Consider the following 25,288-nt stretch of genomic DNA (forward strand, 5'->3'; position numbering starts at 1 on the left):
ATGCTAGAAATAGCATAACTATGAATACAATAGAGACTCTAAAAAGAAACCATAACATGTATTTAAAAATTATTTGGTCTAGGTTAAAAACATTTGGCTAAACAGCTGGGCTATTTACTACGAATAAGAGTCACAATACTAAACAGTGATTAATACTACCAGCAATTCTGAGCTATTGTGTGGATCTGTTTTATTCCTCCAAGGGTCACTTTTATGGCAAACGAAATGAGGCAGTAACAGACAACACAAATGTTATACTTATTTAAGCATTCGGAAAAATAATGCAAACTAGCACTGTTGCTCTTACTTATAATATTAAACTCTAATGAATTATTGGTAAACCTAATACTGATATAAAGTTCCCATTTATTATACCATGATTTCTATTGGGAAGAACATAATATACTCAAATCTGTCAGTGTTACAATGAAGAATCATATTTGGTCAGATTCCAACAGAACATGAAATATTGCTAACATTTTCCTTGCTATTAATACTTGTGCACCCTGAAGTGGGCCAAAGATTGAAATTGAATCAAGGAAGATGTAGAACATGTGAAAACACCTACCTTAGTGGAATATTAAGTTCTGTAGCTCTCTCCTAATGTAGGTAAAAAATTGTAATATGAATATAAGAATAGTGGAAGTTATTTTATAATTCCTGTGATTTGTGATTGTCGGTTTACAGTTTTCTAGTGCTCAAAGTAAAACACAGCAAAAAGTAATTTTGACATGCTGCAGCAGAGTTGCATAGTCGTATACTGGTGCGGCTCCATGGGTTTATAGCATCCACATCATGGAAACCATAGCAACAGCAACGACCTCCTCTGTAGCACTGAAAATGCAAGTCTCTAGTGTCATAGCTTCATTCTAACCACTGTAAGAGAGAACTTAATAAACACATAAATCATTTAGCCTGTAGACTGAAAATTGTTAATGTCCTGTTTTTGACTTCCTTCAGTGTTTGTTTGAGACTTGTCAGATTTAGACTCTGTTGGGTCCCATTCCAATACCTTTTCAAGTTCCTCCCATCCGTCTGGGTCTTCCATCCAGGCTCTAATCAGAGTGGCAGAAGTTGGCAATGTTGTTCATGTGTGAGGTCGTTTTTAGCATCATTATCATCATCATTATTTGTATCCTTTCGTTACCTATTGGGCTTAAAAATGTCTCTGAGTCTTCATATTGGCTGTAATCAAGAGAGAATGGTTTCAAGATAGATGAGAGGAGAGTAGTTAAACAAAAGATTACAGTTGAAAAGGCTCCAAAGTTTAAATTCACCATGTATAGCCAAATGCACAGAGTTTCATGAATCCTCGGTATGGGTTAATTTCTTGATTCAAGATGGAATATCTCAGGATCTTTATTGGAGTAAGTTGGCTCACTCCCAAATTTATGGGACTGTAAAGTAGTATAATTTTTTTAAAAATAGCATGTTTTTAATATTGTTCTCAGTGTCTTGAAATTTCATCTTTTACAGTTCTCCCTGATCTCTCCTTCTCATTCAACTAATCACACATTCACCCTTCAAGATTTATCAGGTGCTATCTCCTCCATATATTCTTGACTCCATCTCTTCCCCTACTTTCTCCTATTCCATGCTTTCACTCATCATAACCTTTATAGGTATGTAATTAACCTATTAATCTTTCTTTCAATTAAGCTGAAAGCTCCTTCGGGGCAATAATCTTGTTTGCTTCTTCTTTTAAGCCCCTAACAAGCACTAACCTTGACATGTAAAATATGCTTAATACATGTTCGTTAAATTGGATGAAAATCAGTGGAACCATTCTAAACTAGTAAGAGCTTTGGAATTGTAAATTGTTAGAAATGCATCTGGAACTGTGGTTCCCAAATACTTGTTCACAATCTAGTGCTGGATTGATAAGAAATACTTGAAGATTTTTAGAAACATTTGATTTATGGACCCCATCTTCAGATATTCTAATATAGAATATTGGAAAGGTATGTTGCATTGTGTGATTTTTGAAAAATATCCAGTTTTTAGTCCCTTTGAAATGATATTGGTAAAACAGATGTTCTGAAGTTTCCCTCATTCATAATATCCTGAACATACTACATTCAAACTCAAAATCAAATAGGTATATTTAGCTGAAGGTAAGTTTCATGGGAAGTTGGCTAGTGGGAGCTATTTTGGAAAAGCATCTCTTAAACTTCCTTCTTCTCCCCCAAAATAGTTCAGAACAGGAGGAACTAGAGCAAAGATGGTTGTTATCAATAGAGACTCACCTCTTCCCCCAAATATTTTCATTGTTAATAGTTCATATCTGTTGTAACTGTCAGATTTTTATTTAAAAAATTCCTAAATCAAATGGGATATTCAAAAACAATGTTTAAATATGTGTTTTTTAAATTTTACTTTATCCAGTGAAAAGATTTTGTTTTTTCTCTAGATTTTGTTTTTTGTTTTTGCTCTAGATTTTGTTTTATCAATCCAAAAATATCTGTATTTTTCCTTCATTATTTACGAGTACTCTCGCAGGGTAGAGAATTCTAGCTTATCAGTTACTTTCTATCAGCTTAAAGATATGTCTTAATTGTCTCCTAGCTTCAAATGGTAGTAGAGAGAAGTCAGCTGTTTGTCATTTTTTCTTAGGGCAACTTATCTTTTGTTCCACTACTTTTAAGACTCCTAATTGTCTTGGGTTTTATCAAGTTTATTATGTCTTTGTGTATTTTTAAAACACACACAAACACATCATATATTTAAATATATCCTCCTTGAATCTGTGAATTGGTGAATTATTTAGTTATTAGAAATCCCTAGCCATTTTCTCTTCAAATATTGCTTCTGCATTCTCTCTCATCCTCTGGGACTCCATTTCAATGCCTTTTAGATTTTCTAACTGTAAAAGGAATGTCAATTTCCCTCCTGTATTTTTTATCTTTTTTTTTTTTTTTTTTTTTTTTTTGAGACAAGAGTCTCGCTCTGTCACCCAGGCTGGAGTGCAGTGGCGATCTCCGCTCACTGCAAGCTCCGCCTCCCGGGTTCACGCCATTCTCCTGCCTCAGCCTCCTGAGTAGCTGAGACTACTGGCGCCCGCCACTACGCCCGGCTAATTTTTTGTATTTTTAGTAGAGACAGGGTTTTACCGTGTTAGCCAGGATGGTCTCAATCTCCTGACGTCGTTATCCGCCCGGCTCGGCGTCCCAAAGTGCTGGGATTACAAGCGTGAGCCACCGTGCCCGGCCTTTTTATCTTTTTTTCTAATATTTAATTTTGTGTAGTTTCTTTTTACCTTTTAGTTCACAAATTTATCTGCATCTTGTCACATCTCTTGTTAAATACTCAATCAGTTGTTCTTAATTTCAGTTATTTCTACAATTTCTTTTTTGATGCTTTAATGTTATTTGTCATAATTTTCAGTTCCTTTGCTAATTTTTTTCAAGTTTGATTATTATCTTTGAAATAGAGATCGTTATTGTTAGCCTGTGTCTGAAAATTCCATTATCTGGAGTGCCTTTGCATCTCCTTCTCTAGTTTCTGGCTAATTTTGTTTAATCATCATGTATAATTTGTAATGTATTCTGGGTATATTGTTAGAAAAATATTTTTAGAAATAATTTCAAATCTGGGAATAGTGTTAGCTTCTTCAAGGGAGAATTTTGCCCTTTGTTATAAGACATATGAGGGCAGTAGCAGGCTGAGAACCAAGGGCTGAGGGTTTTATGGTTTAACTAGAATACTAGCCAGAGCATAGACTGTACCATCATTTCAGAAAATAGTTCTCCAGGGTACCAGTTCAGAGCATGACTGTTATACTGGTGTCTTTGTCTTTGGTAGGCACCAAACTACAGACCTCATTCTTTCTGCCCCATAGAGCAATTAAGACTCTCAATGACTTTCAAAAAGTTAGAAAATGGTCTCAGGGCAAAAGTATCAATGTTTCGGGTACACAGGAAGTAGAGGCTCAGGACTGAGACACATGCATTGTATACCTCTGGTCGTTAGCCAGGACTTATATTTGAGTGTGTGCCCCTGAGGCAAAAACAATTCTGGCTCACCTCTGAGCAATAGTCCTTTTTCTGTTCTCATCCTGATAATTTGTGAGTCTCCTGTAAGGTCTCTGAACTTTTTAAAAGGTGCTTTTGTCAAGCCTCCTTAGTGGTTATTACCAGGGGAATTAGTCCTATTTACTAGGATTGTCAATGACTAGACACTGTACTGATGAATTGTTATTTATTAATGGTTGTTATTCATTTTATGTTGGTTTATGGTTTATCTTTTCCTCCTTTTTTCTGGCTTGACTCTCCTTAGTTGTTATTGCCAGGAGAATTAGTCCTATTTACCAGGACTCTCAATGACTAGATACTTCACTGATGAATGATTTATTAATGGTTGTTATTCATTTTGTGTTGGTTTATCTTTATTTTTTCTGGCTTGATCAAATTGCTACTCATTTCCTTTTCTATTTATTAATTTTATAACTCCAATAAATGTTTTAATAAATTAATTATTGTGTTCCTAATCTCAATATCCATTATTAAAAACACATTGCTTTATGATTACATGAAATCAAGATATCCAAGCTATCCACGATCAATATTTTCCTGCTAATAGACTGAAACTTTTCAAATATTTTTATATCCATTCTACTCCTCCTTGAAACATGAGACATTTGGGATTGTTTTACTTGGTCTCCTTTTTCCAACCACACCTACCCTCTCTACCAAATGCTAAGCTGTATTAACAATATTTACTTGATAGTGGGTTTCTTATACTTAAGGAATCCTTAAGTATCCTTTGGTACTTAGGTCACACATTTCTAGATAGCTTACTAAGTACGTATTGATTTGACTTCATAGGCGTTGCAGTGCTCTTTGCTTAACACCACGTGTCTATTTCTGACATATGTTGCTTTCTAAGTATTTCTCTCAGATGGAGCATGTGCTGATACATTCCTTCAATGCTTGATTTCATGCTAACATATTCTGTTTGGAGTTGGGAATAAATATTTGCTTAAATCCTAATTATTAAAATCCTATAATAAATATAGTAAAGTTATAGGTACCAGACTACAAAGTGATACAATCTCATTTCCAGAAAATTAATTTTATAGATTTAAGTATGTTGCAGTGGGAGGTAGGCATGGTCATACAGCACTCAGGAAATACAAAGTGGTAAACCATCAAGGACTAACAAGAAATCTGATGCCTTGTGGTTTTTCTTTGTAAATAACATTTTTTGCCTGGAAGTTTGTCAATTTTTTCAATTTCTCCTTAGAATTTGTTAATTGTAAGGAGTAATGTTAGCAATATAGCAGAATACAAGATCTCAGTGCTTAATCTACCCACAGAGCTATTAAACACATCAAATTATCTATCTATCTATCTATCTATCTATCTATCTATCTATCTATCTATCTATCTATATGGAGGGAGACAGAAAGAGAGATGTCCTAACCCTCCCCACTCCTGCTGCCAATACCTCAGAATGACATTTGGAAAAAGGCTTGCTACAAATATAATTAATTAAGTTGAGGTTATACTGTAAGTACAGTGGGCCCCTAAGCCCATATGACTGGTATCTTTATAAAGCCAATATGACTGGTATCTTTATAAAGAAGCCACGTGAAAACACAGGCAGACAGAGAGAACCATGAAATGACAAAGGCAGATTGCTTTGCAGTTATGCAGCTGCAAGCCAGGAACACCAAAGATTTCCAGCAAAACAGCACAAGCTGGGAAGAGGCAAGGAAAAATTCCTCTATAGTTTTTAGAGGGAATATGGCCTGCCAACACCTTGATTTTCGATTTTTAGCCTTCAGAACTGTGAGACGATAACTTTGTTGTTTAAACCATCCTCTTGTGGCACTTTGTTATAGTAGCCCTAGGAAACTAGCATGTCCTGTGTCTTGGAAGTGAATGAAAAGAACACCCTTTCTGTTCAATGGACTTAAATAGGCTGGAGGACAAATGAGGGAGACTTTTCTCCCAAAGATACAAATCAAGGTCTTTGCTTGCAACCTCTTACTCCTTCCTTTCACTGAAGATCTGTCAAATATTGAATTGTTCTCTGAATGCTTTCCACAATCATAAGCCCTTGAAGTAAGTTACAGCTCAAATTTGCATTATGTCCACTAGCTTTGCTGAGACAAAGAGCCAAATACTTCTTCCTAGTTTGAATCCATCTCTGGCCATAACCTTTCTCTTGTGAGTCTCTCTTACTTTTCCCAAAAGCCAAGGCCAAGCTTTTATTTCTTTAATATAATCTTTCTTTGTGCTTGAAAAAATGGGCTCATCCATAGACTCGCTTCTGTTTATTGCTGTATAGTTTACATATAGTAAAATTCACCCATTTTGAGTACAGTTTTATAAAATTGATAAACTTTTATAGTCATGTATTACCACAATCAAGATAAAAGAATATTTCTATCATCCCTACATTTCCCTTGTCTCCCTCCTATCACCTCCAACAAGCCCTTGAATACGACTGATTTCCTCCTCTATTGTTTTGCTTTCCCTAGAATGTCACATAAATTGAATCATACAGTAGATAGAATTTGACTTGTTTCACTCAGCATAATGGTTTTAAAATTCATGCATAATATTGCATGTATCAACAGTTGATTCATTTTTATTACTGAGTAGTGTTCCATTGTATGGATACATCATAAATTATCACTTCACCAATGGATAGATTTTAGATTGTTTGTGATTATGAATAAAGCTTCTATATAATTCATATGTAGGATTTTTGGTGGACATAGATCTTCCCTTCTCCAGATAAATACTAGGAGTAGGATTGCTGTATCTTAAGTATATGTTTAAATATAAGAAACTCCCAAACTGTTTCCCAAGGTGACAGTACCTTATTGAATTTTTATCAGTAATGTGTGAGAGTTGTATTTGCTTCACATCATCACCAGCATTTGGTATGTCAGGCTTTGTTTTGTATTTTTCTAGCTATGCTATTAGATTAGTAAGGAGCTCTTTGTAACTTTAATATGCATTTTATTAATGTCTACTGGTGTTGAGCTCATGTGCATATTTACCACCTGTATTTCTTCTTTGGTAGACTACTTGGCTATATTCAAATAGTATGCACATTTTTTATTGTGTTGTGTACTCATTATTGAGTGAGTTTCCGGAGTTCTCTATATATTATTGAGACAAATCCTTTAACAGATACGTATTTTGTTTTCTCTATGTCTGTGGCATATTAATTCAAAGAATGGATGTTTTAGATTATGATAAAGTCCAATTTGTCATATTTTTGTGGTTTATCCTCTTAGGGTCTTAATCTTTCCCTAACTCTACGTAACAAAGTATTATACCACTAGGTTTTATGTTTAGATTTATATTTATTTGGGGTTATTTTTTGGCACATGGTATGAGATATGTGTTGAGGTCAGTGTTCCTGTATATGAGTGTCCAAACAGCATAGCACCATTTATTGACAAGCCTATCACTTCTATATTAAACTACCTAAGTGATATGTATGGCTGGGATTAATTCTGGACTCTCCAGTCCATCCAATTAATTTATATGTGTATTCTTTTGCAAATGCCATGCTTTCTTAATTACTTTAGCTTTATGGTTAATTGAAATCAAGTAGTATAAAATCTTCAACTTTATTCTTTTTCAAAATTTGGTTATTTCCAATCTTTTTTTGCTGTCATCACTATCTACAAAAACTAGGACTGTGTACAATTATTTATAGATTGGCATTGTGGCCATATTCTGTCTTCTCGTCAATGTATAGGTCATAGATCTCCATTGATGTGTCTTCTTCATTTTGCTCACTAATGTCTTGTAGTATGTAGCATGCAAATCTTTGATAAACTTTTATAGTCATGTATCATCACAATCAAGATAAATAATATTTCTACCATTCCCAAAAGTTCCTTGCCCCTCTTCTATAACCTCCAGCAAGCCCTTGAATACCATTGATTTCTCTATTGTTTTGCCTTCTCTAGAATGTCATATAAATGTAATCATCCAGTATGTAGTCTTTCAAGATGGTACTGTTGTTAAATTCAGTTTCCAATTCATTGCTAGTATATAGAAATATAATTGATTTTTTGTATGTGAACTGCGTCCTCAAATCCAGTGAAAATACTTGTTAAATATCTTTTCATAAATTCTGTGTTTTTCTTTTTAGACAATATTATCACATGTTAATTAAAACAGTTTTATTTCTTCCTACCCAATCCTTTGCTTGCATTATTGCACTGGCTAGGATGCCAGCATGAGGTTGAAATGAGAGCAAGCATCTTCATTTTATTTCACCCAATGTGAATGGGAAAGCATTCAGCATTTCACCATTAAGTATGATATCATCTGTAGGATTTTTCTGTACATTCTTTTTATCAAGATGAGGAGTTTTTTGTAAGTTTCTACTATGTTAAAAGTTTTTAATCATTAATGAGTGACAGATTTTGTCTAATGCTTTATGTCTGTTCAAGTGATCATTTGAGTTTATATTTTATTAAAATAAGGTATTTTTGGATGTGAAACCAGTCTTGCTCTCTTGGGATTAATTCTATGTGATCATGGTGTCTAATAGTTTTGATGTTGCTAGATTTAGTTTGCTAATGTAGTCTTTAGAATTTTGGTATCTGTATTCATGAGGGATATGGGTTGTTATTATTTTTTTGTGATGGCTTTGTCTGTCTTTGACATCAGGGTAAATACTGACTTCTGATGAGTTTGGAAGTGTTCTGTTGTCCTCTATTTTCTAAAAGAGTTTGTGGAAGACCAGTATTCTTTCTTTTTATAAGATGATGTTACATCTACTAGTTTTGTCAAATACTAAGAGAGAAGTATTAAAATTTCCAACTCCAATTGCGAAATTGTCTCTTTTTCAGTTCTGTCAGTTTTAGCGGTATGTATTTTGACAGTCTGTTGTTTGATCCATATTTACCTTGATTACGTCTTGATGATTTGGTCCCTTCATTATTATGTAATGTCCCTATTTATCCCTGGCACTCTTCTTTGCTCAGAAGTCTACATCATTTGCTATTAATACAGGTTGTAAAATTCTTTTGTATTAGTGGGATTTTTGGCCTATGTTTTCTATCCTTTTTAAAACCATCTATATGGTTTAAAAGTTATATTTATGGTTTCTTTTTAAACCATCTAAAGTGTTTCTTGTAAAAGTACATTGTAAAAGAGTCTTGCTTTCTTAATTCAATTTAACAATCTCTGCCCTTTAATATGTTTTGACACATTAAAATTATTGGAGGATTTGCATTTAAGTTTTCTATTTGTGCCCTATTTGTCCCAATTTAGTAATTGTTACTTTGTTAAATTTTCTTGCCACTTTTGGATTCACTTACATTTTTATTGTACTTTATCTTCATTAATTTTATCCATTTTGAAAAGTTTAGTGTTTTTCCTAGTGTTTTACGGTCTACCTTAAAAATATTATACTACTTCGTGAATACCATAAGCTTTCATAATATTTCCAATACCTCCCTCTCTACCTTTTAGCTATTTTTAAATGAATTTTATCTTTATATGTTTTGAAACCTATAATACATTGTTACTATCATTGCTTTTATCTAGTAACTTATCTTTTTGAGTGATTAAAAATAAGAAATAATTATCTCTTATAGTAGTCCTCATTCTTAGCATTTCTGGAAACTCTCATTGTATTGATTAAAATTTGTGACTATTACATTCTTTCTGCCTGAGGATTGTTTATAGTACAAATCTGCTGGCAATGAATTCTCTTAGTTTTGTTTATCTGAAAAATGTTTTATTTTATCTTCAACTTGGAGGAAATTCTGACTGAATATTTCATCTTCCAGCTTGAATAATTTTGAGGTGAGGTTGTTGGATATGTGTTTTGATGTATTTCATTATTTATTTTTGGTTGTTGAATATTCAACGATTTCTTCTGCCAGGTTCTTCTCTCTTTTTATTCTAGGAATTCAAATATACCTAGGTTAGTTCCTTTGAGACTGTCTGTCTCAAACTTCTTGAATGCTCTGTATATTATTTTCACTCTTTTACCTCTTTTTCAGTTTGGGTAATGTCTATTTACCTATTTTCATGTTGACTGTTAACTTGAGATCAGTTAACTGCTGAGGCCACCAAGGAATTTCTTCATCTCTTGTGTCATCTTTTATTTTTACCATTTTCATTTGATATTTACGGTTTTTCTCTCTGCTGATGTTTGCTACCAGTTTATATATTTTACCTTTTTTTAAAACTATATCTATTACATTTTCATCATAATTATTTTATAATTAAATACCTTACCTAATAGTTTCAATACCTGGGTCATCTCTGCATCTGGATCTTTTGATTGTTTTGACTTTTGATGATAAATTTTATTTCTTGCTTTTGATGTGTCTTGTAACGCTGGATAATTACTGAATGCTGGGTAAAGAGTATGGCACTTAAGACTGAGGCAAGCAGAATTTACACTTGAAGATCTCAGCATCTTTTCTTCTATCAGATGGTTAATATTGATTTTTAAGCTCCTTTTGAATTTTGCTTTTGTTGTGATTACTTACATAGATCATAGACTTCAAATTCTTCCAGTGGTGGGCTAGCACCTGTCAGTTATCTACCCCTAGCTTTTAGCCATCACTGAGTGCCATTGCAAGCAGGCTTCTGTGTGTTCTTGTTTCCCTCTTAATGATAAGCAGCTATCAGTTGGTACTCTGTGCTATGCTTGTCCCCTTTAGGGATAAGGATGTTTTGTTACTGTTCTAGTCCAGCCTTTGTCACAGGAACTCTCAATATGCCTGAACCTTGGTAATGGGGTTTTCTCAATATTTCTTCCCCATTTCCTTGTCTGCAACAATTTGCCACTGGTCTTTCTTCGGAGTTACCCGACTCTTTCATTTCACTAGGAGATCTCCACCTGGTATTCTAGGATTTTATATTCAGAATGATTTCTTTTCTCTTTTAGGAGTAAAGAATTAATTTTTTACTCCTCACCCAGTGGTTTTACCTGTGTATCCAAGTGGCCTTGTTGCCACTCTTCCAGTTGCTTAAGGCATTTTCCTTAAAAGATGCAAGCAGGACTTCGTGTCTGACAACCCCTCCTTGCAGCTACCAATCATCACTATAGGCTTGCTCCACCAAGGCTATTCTGTACAGCTTCCTGACTTGACAGCAATTATTATTCTGAGCACCCAGATTACCCTTCTGGGCAGAAGCTTACAAGTGACAGCAGACTTAAATGTCTCTTCCTCTTGTATTTAGTCAGTCACAGATGAAACAGTTTTTGGGTCCTGTTTTATTCTTGGAACAGTTTGTTCCTTTTCAAATTTCAGAATAGTTGGTTACCTTGTGATATTATCTCTATAATTCTGTTGTTTCTCCAGATTTCTCTTTTTAGGTTGGGAGCACAGTCTCTGCAGCTTTGTATGGAGTTTGGTTCACTGATTTTGACCTCTGTTCAAAACTGTTCTCCAGTCATAAGATAAACAAAAGCACATTGGCGTTTCCAAAATGTAGGAATAAAATGTTCTATATTCCACCATAACTCTAGTTGTTCTTGTCTTATACTCTGGCTAATTCTCCATTATGTGTTTTCTTCTTTAGCATCCCTGACCACTATTCTTTCGGGTTTTTTCCCCTCTCCATTATCTTTTTTGTCTTTCTTTTCTCCGCCTTATGTCTTAATGTTCTTCTAACAATTTGAATACCTCATCTCCCTAGGATTCTCTCAAACCTCAAGTCTCACTCATCACAACTCTATCCTCTGAGATTACCATCCTAATTAGCCAAGGCGGAAGCTCCTTTTCACAAACTCTCACTTTAAAGCAGACAGTGTGAATCTCTTTGACATCAGGTAATTCAGTTTACAAGGCAATTAACATTTACATAAATGCCATTTAATACAATGATATTTTATTGTAATTTATCTCATTTTTCCCATATTGGTTGATAATGTCCAAATCTGTCATAATTTTAGAGTATAACAATTCTGTTAATTATATGTTATATTGATAAATGTTTAGATATCAACCTGACTTCTCTTAAGCTAGCAGATAAGAAAATTGGTAGAGTTTGAATCTGACTCTTAATTTTTAAAGAAGACAGTTCCTGTACTATTCACCTTTTAGAGCAACTACCAGATTCCATATAATTAATGTATATTTTATAAGAGTGATAATGGTCTCATCAGGAGTCTTATAATTTAGCAAATTGGTTTCCCGTAACTTAGTCTTCTATTTCCACTAGGAAACCATATCGTTATTTTAAATTGCAACTTTTTAAAGTAAAGTAAAGTATTAGCACTTGAATAATTTGTTTGTTTTCCCTATATAGTTGCTTCATCTTGATTTATTTTCTTCTTTTCTAGCTCCTCTTTATCTTCAATATTTCATCTACATCCCAAATCCATTATATTTTCTCTCTTGAGACTGCTTTTTGAATTTTTCTTCTGTTCAATATTCCATGAATGTGCAGAGAAGTTTCTGGCCAAATTCTCTCACAATTTATTGAAACAAAACAAAATAAGAAAGCGGTAAAAATTTCTGTGTTGCTCATAAGTATAAGAAAGAAAATCATTTTTATTTTATATATTTTTTGGATCCAGAGTCTTGCTATATTGCCCAGGCTGGAGTGCAGTGGCGCAATCTTGACTCACTGATTCTCCTGCCTCAGCCTCCTGAGTAGCTGGGACTACATGCATGAGGCACCATACCCTGTCAGAAAATCCTAAAGAAATTTAAATTCTTTTTAGCCATGAGAAGTGAACCTCCAATACATTTTACAATATTTTGAGCTTAAGAGAAGCTCAGAGACAGTGTCTTGGCAGAAGATGTTATTTGTTTTGCTGACATGATATCTGACAATGTTTGGATTAGTTGTCAACATTTAAAAAATTTACATAAAATCTAGATTTATAGTTTTTCTTTAGAATGTGGAAGAATGACACGATTGGGCTTACATTTTGTTTTTTGAGATGGAGTCTCACTCTGTCGCCCAGGCTGGAGAGCAATGGCCCGATCTTGGCTCACTGCAACTTCTACCTCTCGGGGTTCAAGTGGATTATCCTGCCTCAACCTCCCAAGTAGCTGGGATTACAGGCACATGCCTGGCCAGGCCTGCGTTTTAACATGACAACACAAATGGCACAGCATAGAACATAGGACATAGAAATCTAGCTTTTCATATACAGTCTTCACAGATGCCCATGCCACACATTTTAATCATCTGGCTGGCTCCTGAAGCATTTGAGTTCATAGCTATTGCTTTAGAGATTGGCCTCTAATAGAGGCATGCACAGTTTCAGTGGATAAAGAACCAATCAAAACAAGTGTTCAGGTGATAACATTGTCAAAACTCACCTATTACTTGCTCCTATCTCATGCAAGCTTTCCCAAATATTTTACTTAGATTACTCTAGTTTCGATGACAGTTTGAGTGTAAACAGGGGCACTATCAAGAACTTGTTAGAACTATAATTGTATAATGAGACTGCTTCTCTCAACTCTGGCAAATGGCTGTCCTACTTATGAACAGACTCTTGATGAGCTCACACAATTATCTGTAATTCTTTTTCACTTAAATTTCCAGCTAGCTGTAGCTTCTACTTAAAATGTTTGTTTATTAATTTATTTCTTTAAAAAAATAAATGTGTTAGTCTTCTTTCCAGAAGAATATTCCTGGGAATAGGTGGGAAGTAGACAAATTATCCATTATATAGAGCTTCTGTTTGTTTGCAAATAAAGATTCAATGCAGTATCATAGGGATAAGGTCTATGACTGGAAATGAAACAAGTAAGGGCTGAAGACTAATGTGTTGGTTCTACTTTACATAGGGTTGTTAGCAAAGACATCACTGAGGAGGTGATGTCAGAACAGAGGCCATGTGAAAATGAATAGTGCAACTGTCTAGGGGCAAGGTTTTGCAGGCAGCAGCAAATGTGAATGCTTTGACATCTTCAAAGTCTACTGGTCCAAAGAGGCTATCCCAGAGAGATAAGGAAAGTGAGTATTAGAGAATGAGGTTAAAGATGAACCAAATTAAATAAATAGTAGGATATAAGAATGTAAGAATGAACCTTGATCCTTCTCCTGCTGAGACTTCACCCTGTCGTGGCAGAAAGTGTGAAGAAAACATCATTGCCTTTGGATTATGCCAGCACTTTGAGCATTATGACATGTTCTCTAGATCTGAATTCTGGACCTCATATGCCTCTTCTTTGTTTCAGGCACAGTTAATTTTCTTCTAGACTTCTGACTCCTTCCTGATAACTGGTTACTGAAAACAAGCTCCCTGATCTCTGAATTAAATCTTTGATTTTGCAATCTATAATTGGGTCCTAACCTCGAATTTATATACTATTGCAAGGTGTCCTAATTTCCCAGTGCTTGTGACCTCTGCTTGAATATGACCTCCTCTGGTTCTTCAACCTTCAGCTTCCCCTCCTCTGCATTGTGAAGCAGGTGAACTGTGCACTGGTTACCAACCGCTGGGAAAAATTCCCACTGCATGGGGAATAGCAAATATCATCACTAAGCCCATCACGAGAAAGAGAAGTCTTAACACTTCAGTCCACTGCATTTGGATCTGCAATTTTTATCACTTGCATGAGTCAGGTGAGACATAATACTCATACAAGTTATGTGAAGCAATTTTATTATTCACACATAGGCGGTAAGGGGAAGCAGAGCCCTAGAATTCATGATGAGCTTTTCTGAAGCTCAGAAAAGCTGCCCAGGGTGTCTGGCATCTTATGTGTGCCCCACCTGCACTGCAGCTGAAAACAGTGTACCTTGGGTTTTATATCCCAGGGATAACATAATTTGCCAAGCTAAAATGCTGAAGGACATCTTGTTCCAGGAGGGGCAGGAATAGAGCCTGTTCCTTCTTATCTCGGCAAGCTGCACTGCCAGCATATTCTCTATGTTTATGTTTGAGAACCTCACATGAGAAAGGGGGAGAGAACTGGGTCAGTCCAAGGTCACCCGGAGCTCTGTCCTGCACACATACCTGCCTTTCTTGAGGTGTTGCTTGAAATAACAGTTCTATACCTGCTATTTGACCATTATACTGATATCAATCTCCAGTTCCACTAATACCTATTGTATAGATGACTTCATGTAAGTAGATAATTAAGAAGATAAAATGCATGCAAAACAAATACTCCCAATTTTGTGCCTAAACATGATGCCCAGAAGAGATTTTTAAAGGTTTTCTCTTTTCATACACAAATGGACAATGCAATTTAACATGTTTTGCTAGTCACAAGAAAATGTTTTACGTCGACATCATGACTTTTATGCCACAAAACCATTCTCACGTCTTGGACTCTGTAGAAATAAATATTTACCAATCACACTGAGGATGCACCAGCTTGATGGCCCAGGGAATCAACATCTCAGCACATTCTTTAGCCATCCAAAACACCGTAATTTGGGGTTCTTTAGCATAGCCAGTTTTGTTGGAAAAATTCGCTCAGTTATGTCCAAAAATCAGTTGATTAAAAGTATTTTTACATATATCAGAATAAAATACCGATATTCTTCCATCTCCCCTTTAGTTACACTTCTGAACACTAAAGACCAAAAAAAAGAAGAAAATATAGTCTCATTAATATGTTTTAAAACTCCTTTTTACCACTTTGCAACAAAACGATTTCCTCAAATGACATTAATATGAACAATAAAATAGTTTAGAACTGGCTGCTATTTCTGAGGTTTGAACATGTTTTACTTTTCTACCTGTTCCATTTTTTCCGAGATAATATCTAACATAAGTTTTTAATAATATAAATTTTATTTTCAGTTTTTCATGAAACATGTATTTCCTTTTTATTTTAACAAACCGCTATTTATCACCTATTCTATGCTGCGTTCTCTATGCCGGGGAACTAAAAAGAAAGACATAGTCCCTTCTTTAAGCTATTCATAATCTAGAGGAGGAAAGTGAAAAGAAAACAGTTATAATATGTATGCTACTTATAATATCAGAATTGTATATAAGGAATCAGAGTAGTCAATAGGAAGAAGTGGTCAGCTTTATCCAAATGTTAGAAGATAAGGCAAGTAAGATACTAAATCCACAGATCTGGAAGAGGCAAAACATTAAAGTAAATTACCTGGAATATTTGCAAATTCTCTTTTGAAAAGTGTGAAATCCTTATTGTCCATAGTTCATCAAATTGAGTATTAATTATCCCTGGTGTATTCACAAACCTTAGAGGAAACTATCATGGCCCATAAATCTCATTTTTCTCACCGTAGAAGCTAATGCTCAATGAAAGGTGGGCAACATGTGCATGCATGGTTATGAGAAAAGTACTGATTATTTTTATTGCCCTGAATGGGCCTATTTATTCAAGAGCAGTGATATGCTATCATAGATGATAGTGCTCTTAACGATTTTATAGAAGAAACAAAGCCAATGCTACCGGGATACCCACATCTGTTTATCCATTTTAGAAACAGCATTAAAAAAACATTGATTACATGCCTGAACAAGAATGCGTTCAGATCTTTTAGGCAGCCTCCTTTGCATTTAATGTAACTAGTGCCATTGCCTCTCTGCAGGTAAGGGACTTACTTAGCATGGGTAAGTGCCTTGGCAGTAATACTGAAGATGCCTGAGTAAGTCTGCTGATGGTATTAATGATTTATTTGAATCCCTGGACATAAAGGGAATGTTAATTCTAGTGGCCTGGTAAAATTTGAACCAGGCAATTGATAGGCAGAAATTAGATCCCAAACCCTACCTAGCAATTTAAACTGTATGTACATACATGACCTCATTTTTCTTATAACGCCATATTGAATGACTATAAAAGATTGGTAGAAGAGGTACCTCATCTAAGTCTGATGTAAATCATTTTTAATTCATTTTACTAATCATATATAAAAAGTGACTATATATTTTGAAATATATAGTCAGTTGCAACAAATTGAAAACAAACTAGATGATCACTACAAAGGAATAAAAAAGGGATTCTGTATTGTATTTTCTATTCATTATGTTTCCACATGTTCTCACAGGGTTATATCTCCCAAGATCATGGTTTCAATTCATGTCTGGAATTCACTCCTAGACTTCAAGCCCCATATGCTAGTCCTTAACAGATATATTTACCTGGAGGTTCTCAACACATCTCAGTCCCAAACTCTGAAATTATTCTCATTAGTTATTCTATCATCTTATACAAAGAGAAAAGATACTTCTTATACCTATTCAGGTTGCCAAGTCAGAAACTTGTGTGTCATCATAGACCCTTTCCTCTTCCTCTCCATTTTTCCAATAGAAGAGAATTTTTGAAGTCATAAGATTTCAATCTGGTGCACATTTTTTCATTCATATTCTCCTTTACATCTTCACTGCTATTACTCTGGTTCTGATGTTGACCATCTCTCTGTAGACCATTGGAATGACTCCCAGCTGAAGGCTTCCACTCCAAGGTTTAGAACACTTCATTCTTACACTTGCAGTTTCCAAGGGTATCTACATGTTCAGCAGATGGTTTGAAGTTAAGGACATAGCTGTATTTTAAAGTAAAAGATTTGAGATATTCAGTAATTTGAAATTCTAGGAGTAAATTAGATCAACCAGCCCAAGTTTCATGAGAGATGATGACCTAGTAATACTAGGCTTTACAATTTATTGCTTTGAGAATCCCTCTTAAATATATGTATTAATGTTTACTTATAAATATTTAAAAATATTTATTACTATAAAATAGTTATTTAAATTGGTGTAAGTATTAACTTCTAATATTTAACAGGGATTGTCAAAACAAAAGAAGAAAAAATTAAAGATAGTGGAAATGTTAGAAATGCAAACTTTTCAATTGTAATAAAGCTTGTGATTGCAATTTGCCCCATTCTGGATAGTAAGTATATCCCCCACCACCACCCATGAGTGCTTGAATACAGTAAGCTAAGATTAGGTTATCTATTCTTCAAGTTAGCCACTTGCTCTTAGCACACCAAAAAGTTCCTAGGATGAAATGAAGCATTTGACTACCTGTTCCTAGATGTCTCTTGTAATTGCCTGCTGTTTTTTTGTGATTTGTCTCACACGATTTTTCAGTCACTTCCTCTCCATTTCACAGTTCAGATAAGGTGGTCTTCAACTGGTGAAGTGAAGTGCTAAAGAGAATGGTGCAGTTGCTAAATATACGCTTACTTGTTGAGTACTTGGGAGAGAAAACATCTGTGCAATGTAGTTTCCAGCATCATGGGAAAACTGAAAATGAGACTACTAAAGCTAAAAATGAAACTACTATAGCTAAAGAGCAAAACAAATGTAATGCAATAATTTAAAGTACTTAAGTTAGACAACTTTCTCTTTAAGATCATAAGGAGGGTTGTTAAATATAATACCCTCCATATTATAGTCTGCAGAGGATTAGATAAGTGAACATTATTGTTATAGTTAATCATCTGAACAAACTTCTGAGTTCCCTTAGTATTTAAGAATTACGTGTTATACTCCACCGTACTAAACATTCCCACACTTAATTTGTAAAGGTAGATAAATTGAACAGGAGCTCCTAATCAGCACGATTTCTGTAACAGCAGAACCATGTCTCCCCTCCCTTAGATGACATCTACTGTAAAAAGAGAAACCAATAGTGTACCAAACACACCATTTTGCAAGGAACCAGCTCTTCTGGAAAGCAATAAGCAATGTGTTATGTGACTCTAATGCCTGTTTTACATTAAGGTATCTGGCTAAAGTGAAAAGCTCATTCAAAACAATCACTTAATGGCCAGGTGCGGTGGCTCACGCCTGTAATCCCAGCACTTTTGGAAGCTGAGGTGGGCAGATCACGAGGTCAGGAGTTGGAGACCGGTCTGGCCAACATGGTAAAACCCCATCTCTACTAAAAATACCAAAATTAGCCATGTAATCAGTGCATGTAATCCCAGCTACTCAGGAGTCTGAGGCAGGAGAATTGCTTGAACCCAGAAGGCAGAGGTTGCAGTGAGCTGAGATCACGCCACTGCACTCTAGCCTGGGCAACAGAGCAAGACTCCATCTCAACAAAAGCCACTTGTATTACTTCTAGGGCTTTTCTCCATAGGAGAAAAAAAGAAACTGTTAATGATGTTGAAATCATATAGGTGTGTGGAGAAAGTCATGTGCCACCATTATTTTTAAAATTTGGGATAAACCTATATAAGAAGTTCTTTGCAATGCACGAGGACCTAAGCACTTAAGAAAGTCATTTACGGTATCAACTAAATATGTTTAGAGTTACTATAAGTCAAAATTCTTCTCGACGAATTCAAGTTGAAACATTTCTAGTGCCCTATTGAGTTGTTTGACTTGTATAAACAACTTTTAAGAAAGGTCAATCAACTACACTTTCCAAAACATTTGATTTTCAAATCATTATAATAACAGTAATTCTAGTGCTATTAGCCCTTACACTGCATTCAGCTGTAATGTTTTCATAGCATTTATATATATATATATATAGCATTTATATATATATATATAGCATATATATATATTTGAGATATATTTGAGACAAATATATATATATATATATTCGAGACAAATATATATATATATATTTGAGACAGAGTCTCACTTTTGTCATCCAGGTTGGAGTGAAGTGGTGGGATCTCAGCTCACGGTAACCTCCACCTCCTGGGTTCAAGCGATTCTCCTGCCTCAGCCTCCCAAGTGGCTGGGATTACAGGTGTCTGCCACCATGCCTGGCTAATTTTTGTGTTTTTAGTAGAGACGGGGTTTTGCCGTATCGGCCAGGCTGGTCTTGAATTCCTGACCTCAGGTGCTCAACCTGCCTCGGCCTCCTAAAGTGCTGGGATTACAGGCCTGAGCCACTGTGGCCAGTTCCAAATATTTTTTATTATGGCAAAATTCACATAACAAATTTACCATGGTAACCAATTTTAATTGTACAGTTCAGTGTTACTATATATACTCATAACTTTGAAACTGTCACCAATATTCATCTCCATAATTCTTTTTATCTTATAAAACTGCAATTCTATACTTATTAAACAATACCTCCTCCTTCCCCCAATCCTCTGGAAACCACCATTCTACTTTGTCTCTATGATTTTGACTACTTTAAATGTATCATACAGGTGGAATGATACAGCATTTGTCTTTTTGTGACTGGTTTGCTTACTTAGCATCAAGACTTCAAGGACTATTCATATCGAAGCATATGTCAGAAATTCCTTTTTAAGGCTGAATAACATTCCATCATATGTATATGCCAATTTTGCTTATCCATTCATCTACTGATGGACGCTTAAGATACTTTCATGTTGTAGCTACTGTGAATAATGCTGTTATAAACATGGGTGTAGAAATCTCTTTGGGATCCTTTTCTCAGGTCTTTTGGGTAAATTCACTGAAGGAGAATTGCTGGATCACATGGTAATCCTATTTTTAATTTTTTTGTGATACTGCCATACTGTTTTCCATTCTATTTTACATTTCTTGCAAAAGTGTTCCAATTTCTCCACGTCCTAACATTTGTTATTCTCTTTGGTTTTGGTAGTAGCCATCCTAATGAGTGTCAGGTGGTATCATGTTGTAGTTTTGATTTGCATTTCCCTAATGATTAATGATGTTGAACATCTTTAAATGTGTTTTTTGTATTTTCTTTGGAGCAATGTCTATTCAAGTCCTTTGCTTTTGTGGCTGTTAACTTTGGGAATTTCTCTATATATTCTGAATGTTAATCCCTTGTTAGATATGATTTGCAAATGTTTTCTTTCATTCTGTGGTTCACCTTTTTACTCTATTGATTTTGTCTTTTAATGCACATTTAAAATTTTTCATGATATCAAATTTATCTTTTTTGTTAACTGTGCCTTTGGTGTCATACCTGAGAAATAATTGCCAAATATAATGTGTTCATGTTTTCTTCTAATAATTTTACAGATTTAGGTGTTTGATCCATTTTGAGTTAATTTCTATATATAGTATTAAGTTCATGTACAACTTTATTCTTTTTATATGTGGATATCTAATTTTTCCAGACCATTGCCTGAAAGACTGTTCTTTTCTCATTTGGTCTTAACACCCTTGCCAAAAAATCATTTGACCATATGTGTGAGGGTTTATTTCTGGGCTCTCTATTCTATTCCAGTGGTCTACATGTCTGTTTTTATGCCAGTACTACACTGTAGCTTCATATTAAGTTTTGAAATCAGAAAGTGTGAGTCCTCCAGCTTTTTTTTTTTTTTCCAACATTGTTTTGTCTCTTTGGGCTTCCTTAAAATTCCGTATAAATTTTAGAATGGGTTTATCTATTTCTACAAAAAGAAAACACTGGATTTTGATAGAAATTGCACTGAATCTATAGATTGGTTTGGGTGATACTGACATATTAACAATATTAAGTCTTTCCAGGAACACAGGGTGTGTTTCTATCTATTTAAGTCTTCTTTATTTCAGTAATGTTTTGCAGTTTTATTTTGGCAAGTATTTCACCTCCTTAAGTGAAACCCTAAGATTTATATTCTTTTAATGCTATTGTAAATATGATTATTTTTATAATTACCTTTTCAGATTGTTCATTGTTAGCATGATTTTTGTGTATTAGCTTGTATCAGCCTGCTATTTCACTGAATTTGTTCTCACAGTTTTTTGGTGGAATCTTTAGGGTTTTCTATATGTAAGATTATCTCATCTGCAAACAGAGGTAATTTTACTTACTCTTTTATAATTTGGAGGCCTTTGGTTTTTATTTTTAATTACTAATTGCTCTGGCTACAACTTCAGAACTACGTCAAAGAGCAGTGTACTAGTGATCATCTTTGCCTTGGTCCTGGTCTTAGACAGAAAACTTTCATTCTTTCTCCATTGAGTATGATGTTTGCTGTGGATTTTTTATGTATAATTTGTTATGTGGAGGCAGTTTCCTTCTTATTCTAGTTTGTTGAGTGTTTTAATCATAAAAGCATGTTGAATTTGTAACATGCTTTTTCTGTATCAATTGGGATAATCATGTGGTTTTTATTCTTTCATTTCTTAATCTGTTGTATTACAATGATGGCATTTTTTATGTTGAATCAGTCTTGTATGCAAGAAATAAATCTCATTGATCATGGTATATAATACATTTTTAAGGATTTTTTTCATCAAAGATATTAGTTTGTAGTTTACTTTTTTGCAGTATGTTTCTGTCCAGCTTTGATAATGCTGGCCTTATAGAATGAGTGAGGAAGTGTTTTCTCCTCTAACTTTTTTGGAAAAAAATTTTTTTTTTCCTTTTTGAAACAGGGTCTCACTCTGTCACCCAGGCTGGAGTGCAACGGCATGATCAAGCTCACTGCAGCCTCAAGTGATTCTCTTACCTCAGCCTCCGGGTTAGCTGGGACTACAGGCACGCACCACTACTCCCAGCTATTTTCTGTATTTTTTGTAGAGAGAGGGTCTCACCATGTTGCCCAGGCTGGTCTTCAACTCCTGGGCTCAAGGAATCCTCCTGCCTCAGCTTCTCAAAGTGCAGGGATTTCAGGTGTGAGCCACCACACCCGACCTGGAAAAGTTTTAAAAGGATTGATATTAAGGCTTTTTTTTAACTTTCAGGAGATTTCAATTAATCTTATAATTTTAGGTCTATTGAAACTTTATTTTTCCATACGTTATTGGGGTACAGGTGGTATTTCATTACATGATTTGTGAGATTTTGGTTTGCACCATATTTGTAGTCTTTTATCGCTTGCCCCTCTCCCACTTTTCCCTTCCAATTCCCCAACGTCCATCGTATCATTCTTATGCCTTGGCGTCCTCATAGCTTAGCTCCCACACATCAGTGAGAACATACGATGTTTGATTTTCCCTTCCTGAGTTACTTCACTTAGAATAATCGTCTCCAGTCTCATTCAAGTCACGGCTAATGCTGTTAATTCATTTCTTTTAATGGCTGTGTAGTATTACATCATATATGTATACCAGTTTCTTTAACCACTCATTGATTGAAGGGCATTTGAATTGGTTCCACGATTTTGCAATTGCGCTGCTATAAACAAGCTTGTGCAAGTATCTTTTTCGAATAATGACTTTTCCTCTGGGTACATACCCAGTAGTGGGATTGCTGGATCCAATGGTAGTTCTACTTTTAGTTCTTTCTTTAAGGAATCTCCACACTGTTTTCCATGGTGGCTGTACTGGTTTACATTCCTACCAGCAGTGTAGAAGTGTTCCCTGTTCACTGCATCCCTGTCAGCGTCTAGTCTTGGCAAGTTTTGTATTTCTAGAAATCTGCCCATTTCAACTAGGTTATTTAATTTGTAAACATAAAATTTTTATGATACTCATAGTCCTTTTTATTTCTGTAGAAGTGTTAGAAATGGTCCACTTTCCTTCTCAATTTTAGTAATTTTAGTCTTTTTTCTTAGACATCTAGATAAAGGTTTGTAAATTTTGTTGATCTCGTCAAAGAACCAAGCTTGTTTTATTGCTTTTATTTTTTTTAAAAAGGACAACATCATATTTTATTCATTTATTTGTAAACTCGGGTACAGAAGTTTGAGCTACTCATTCTTACAAGCTCATTAATGGGTCATTATCATCATTGGTCCATGCAAGATCCCTCTCTTGTTTTATTTATTTATTCCCTCTTATACTCATGACTCACTTCCTTTCTCCTCCTTCCTTACTACAGACAAATATTCTAACATATTTAATGTGTATGTGTATTTGCACAAATTCTTCACATATTGTGACATGTATGCATGTATTTAGTTCACAGAAAGAGTATGTTATAGGTTTCTCTAGTTTTTTTTGTACAATCAGCATAACGTGGTTTCAGGGTCCATTCAAATCACTATGTGTGTGTTTAGTCTGTTGCTGCTAACGACTGCACAGTACTCCATGGTATGCAGTCACATTTCGCTTGCCTCAAACTCACTGGTACCACAAACAACAATGCAGTGCACCTTCTTGTATTCATCTCCATGCGGACCTCTCAGAGACTTTAAGATATATACTCCGCAGTGGAATGGTTGCTCAGAGCTATGGAATACTTAGGTTGACCAAGTATGACTGGCATGCTCTCCAGAAGAGATGCGTCTATCTACATCTATCTACACTCTCATCAATCAGTCCTGTTATTCAGCTTTGTTTTTTTCTTTTATTATACTTTAAGTTCTAGGGTACATGTGCACCATGTGCAGGTTTATTACGTATGTATACATGTGCCATGTTGGTGTGCTGCACCCATTAACTCATCATTTACATTAGATATTTATCCTAATGCTATCCCTCCCCTAGCCCCCCATCCCACGACAGGCCCTGGTGTGTGATGTTACCCTTCCTGTGTCCAAGCGTTCTCATGGTTCAATTCCCACCTATGAGTGAGAACATGCGGTGTTTGGTTTTCTGTCCTTGCGACAGTTGCTCAGAATGATGGTTTCCGGCTTCAACCATGTCCCTACAAAGGACATGAACGTGTCCTTTTTTATGGCTGCATAGTATTCCATGGTGTATATATGCCACATTTTCTTAATCCAGTCTATCATTGATGGACATTTTGGTTGGTTCCAAGTCTTTGCTATTGTGAATAGTGCCGCAATAAACATACGTGTGCATGTGTCTTTATAGCAGCACGATTTGTAATCCTTTGGGTATACACCCAGTAATGGGATGGCTGGGTCAAATGGTATTTCTAGTTCTAGATCCTTGAGGAATCGCCACACTGTCTCTTCCACAATGGTTGAACTGGTTTACAGTCCCACCAACAGTGTAAAGTGTTCCTATTTCTCCACATCCTCTCCAGCACCTATTGTTTCCTGACTCTTTAATGATCGCCATTCTAACTGGTGTGAGATGGTATCTTGCTGTGGTTTTGATTTGCATTTCTCTGATGGCCAGTGATGATGAGCATTTTTTCATGTATCTGTTGGCTGCATAAATGTCTTCTTTTGAGAAGTGTCTGTTCATATCCTTCGCCCACTTCTTGATGGGGTTTTTTCTTGTAAATTTGTTTGAGTTCTTTGTAGATTCTGGATATTAGCCCTTTGTCAGATGGGTAGATTGCAAAAATTTTCTCCCATTCTGTAGGTTGCCTGTTCACTCTGATAGTAGGTTTCTTTTGCTGTGCAGAAGCTCTTTAGTTTAATTAGATCCCATTTGCCAATTTTGGCTTTTGTTGCCATTGCTTTTGGTGTTTTAGTCATGAAGTCCTTGCCCATGCCTATGTCCTGAATGGCATTGCCTAGGTCAACTCACACCAAGATACATTATAATCTAACTTTTGAAAGACAAAACAAATAGTGAATCTTGAAAGTAGCAAGAAGGAAGCAAGTTATCACATACAAGGTATTCTCAATAAGATTATCAGCAGGTTTCTCATTAGAAACTTTGCATCTGCCAAAACTGTCCTTTAAAA

At 35.2% G+C, this 25,288-nt stretch overlaps 2 long non-coding RNA genes across 3 annotated transcripts in view; one reads left to right on the top strand and one right to left on the bottom strand.

Annotated features, from left to right (window-relative positions):
• The window catches only part of LOC105370529 (uncharacterized), a 149,443-nt gene that overhangs the window by 112,429 nt on the left and 11,726 nt on the right, over positions 1–25,288 (top strand). The window lies entirely within an intron of this gene.
• Positions 849–22,287, bottom strand: LOC105370528 (uncharacterized). 2 transcript variants are annotated; one of them, XR_943931.2, is made up of 5 exons: positions 22,251–22,287; positions 17,926–18,050; positions 17,133–17,441; positions 15,266–15,490; positions 849–1,185 (listed from the first exon to the last, which is right to left on the bottom strand). It is a non-coding gene; the product is annotated as an uncharacterized LOC105370528 (long non-coding RNA). The 2 variants fall into 2 exon arrangements; XR_007064203.1 differs by lacking the exon at positions 849–1,185 and having other exon boundaries at positions 14,555–15,490.

This window comes from Homo sapiens, chromosome 14, assembly GCF_000001405.40.
Source record: "Homo sapiens chromosome 14, GRCh38.p14 Primary Assembly".
NCBI lineage: Eukaryota > Metazoa > Chordata > Mammalia > Primates > Hominidae > Homo > Homo sapiens.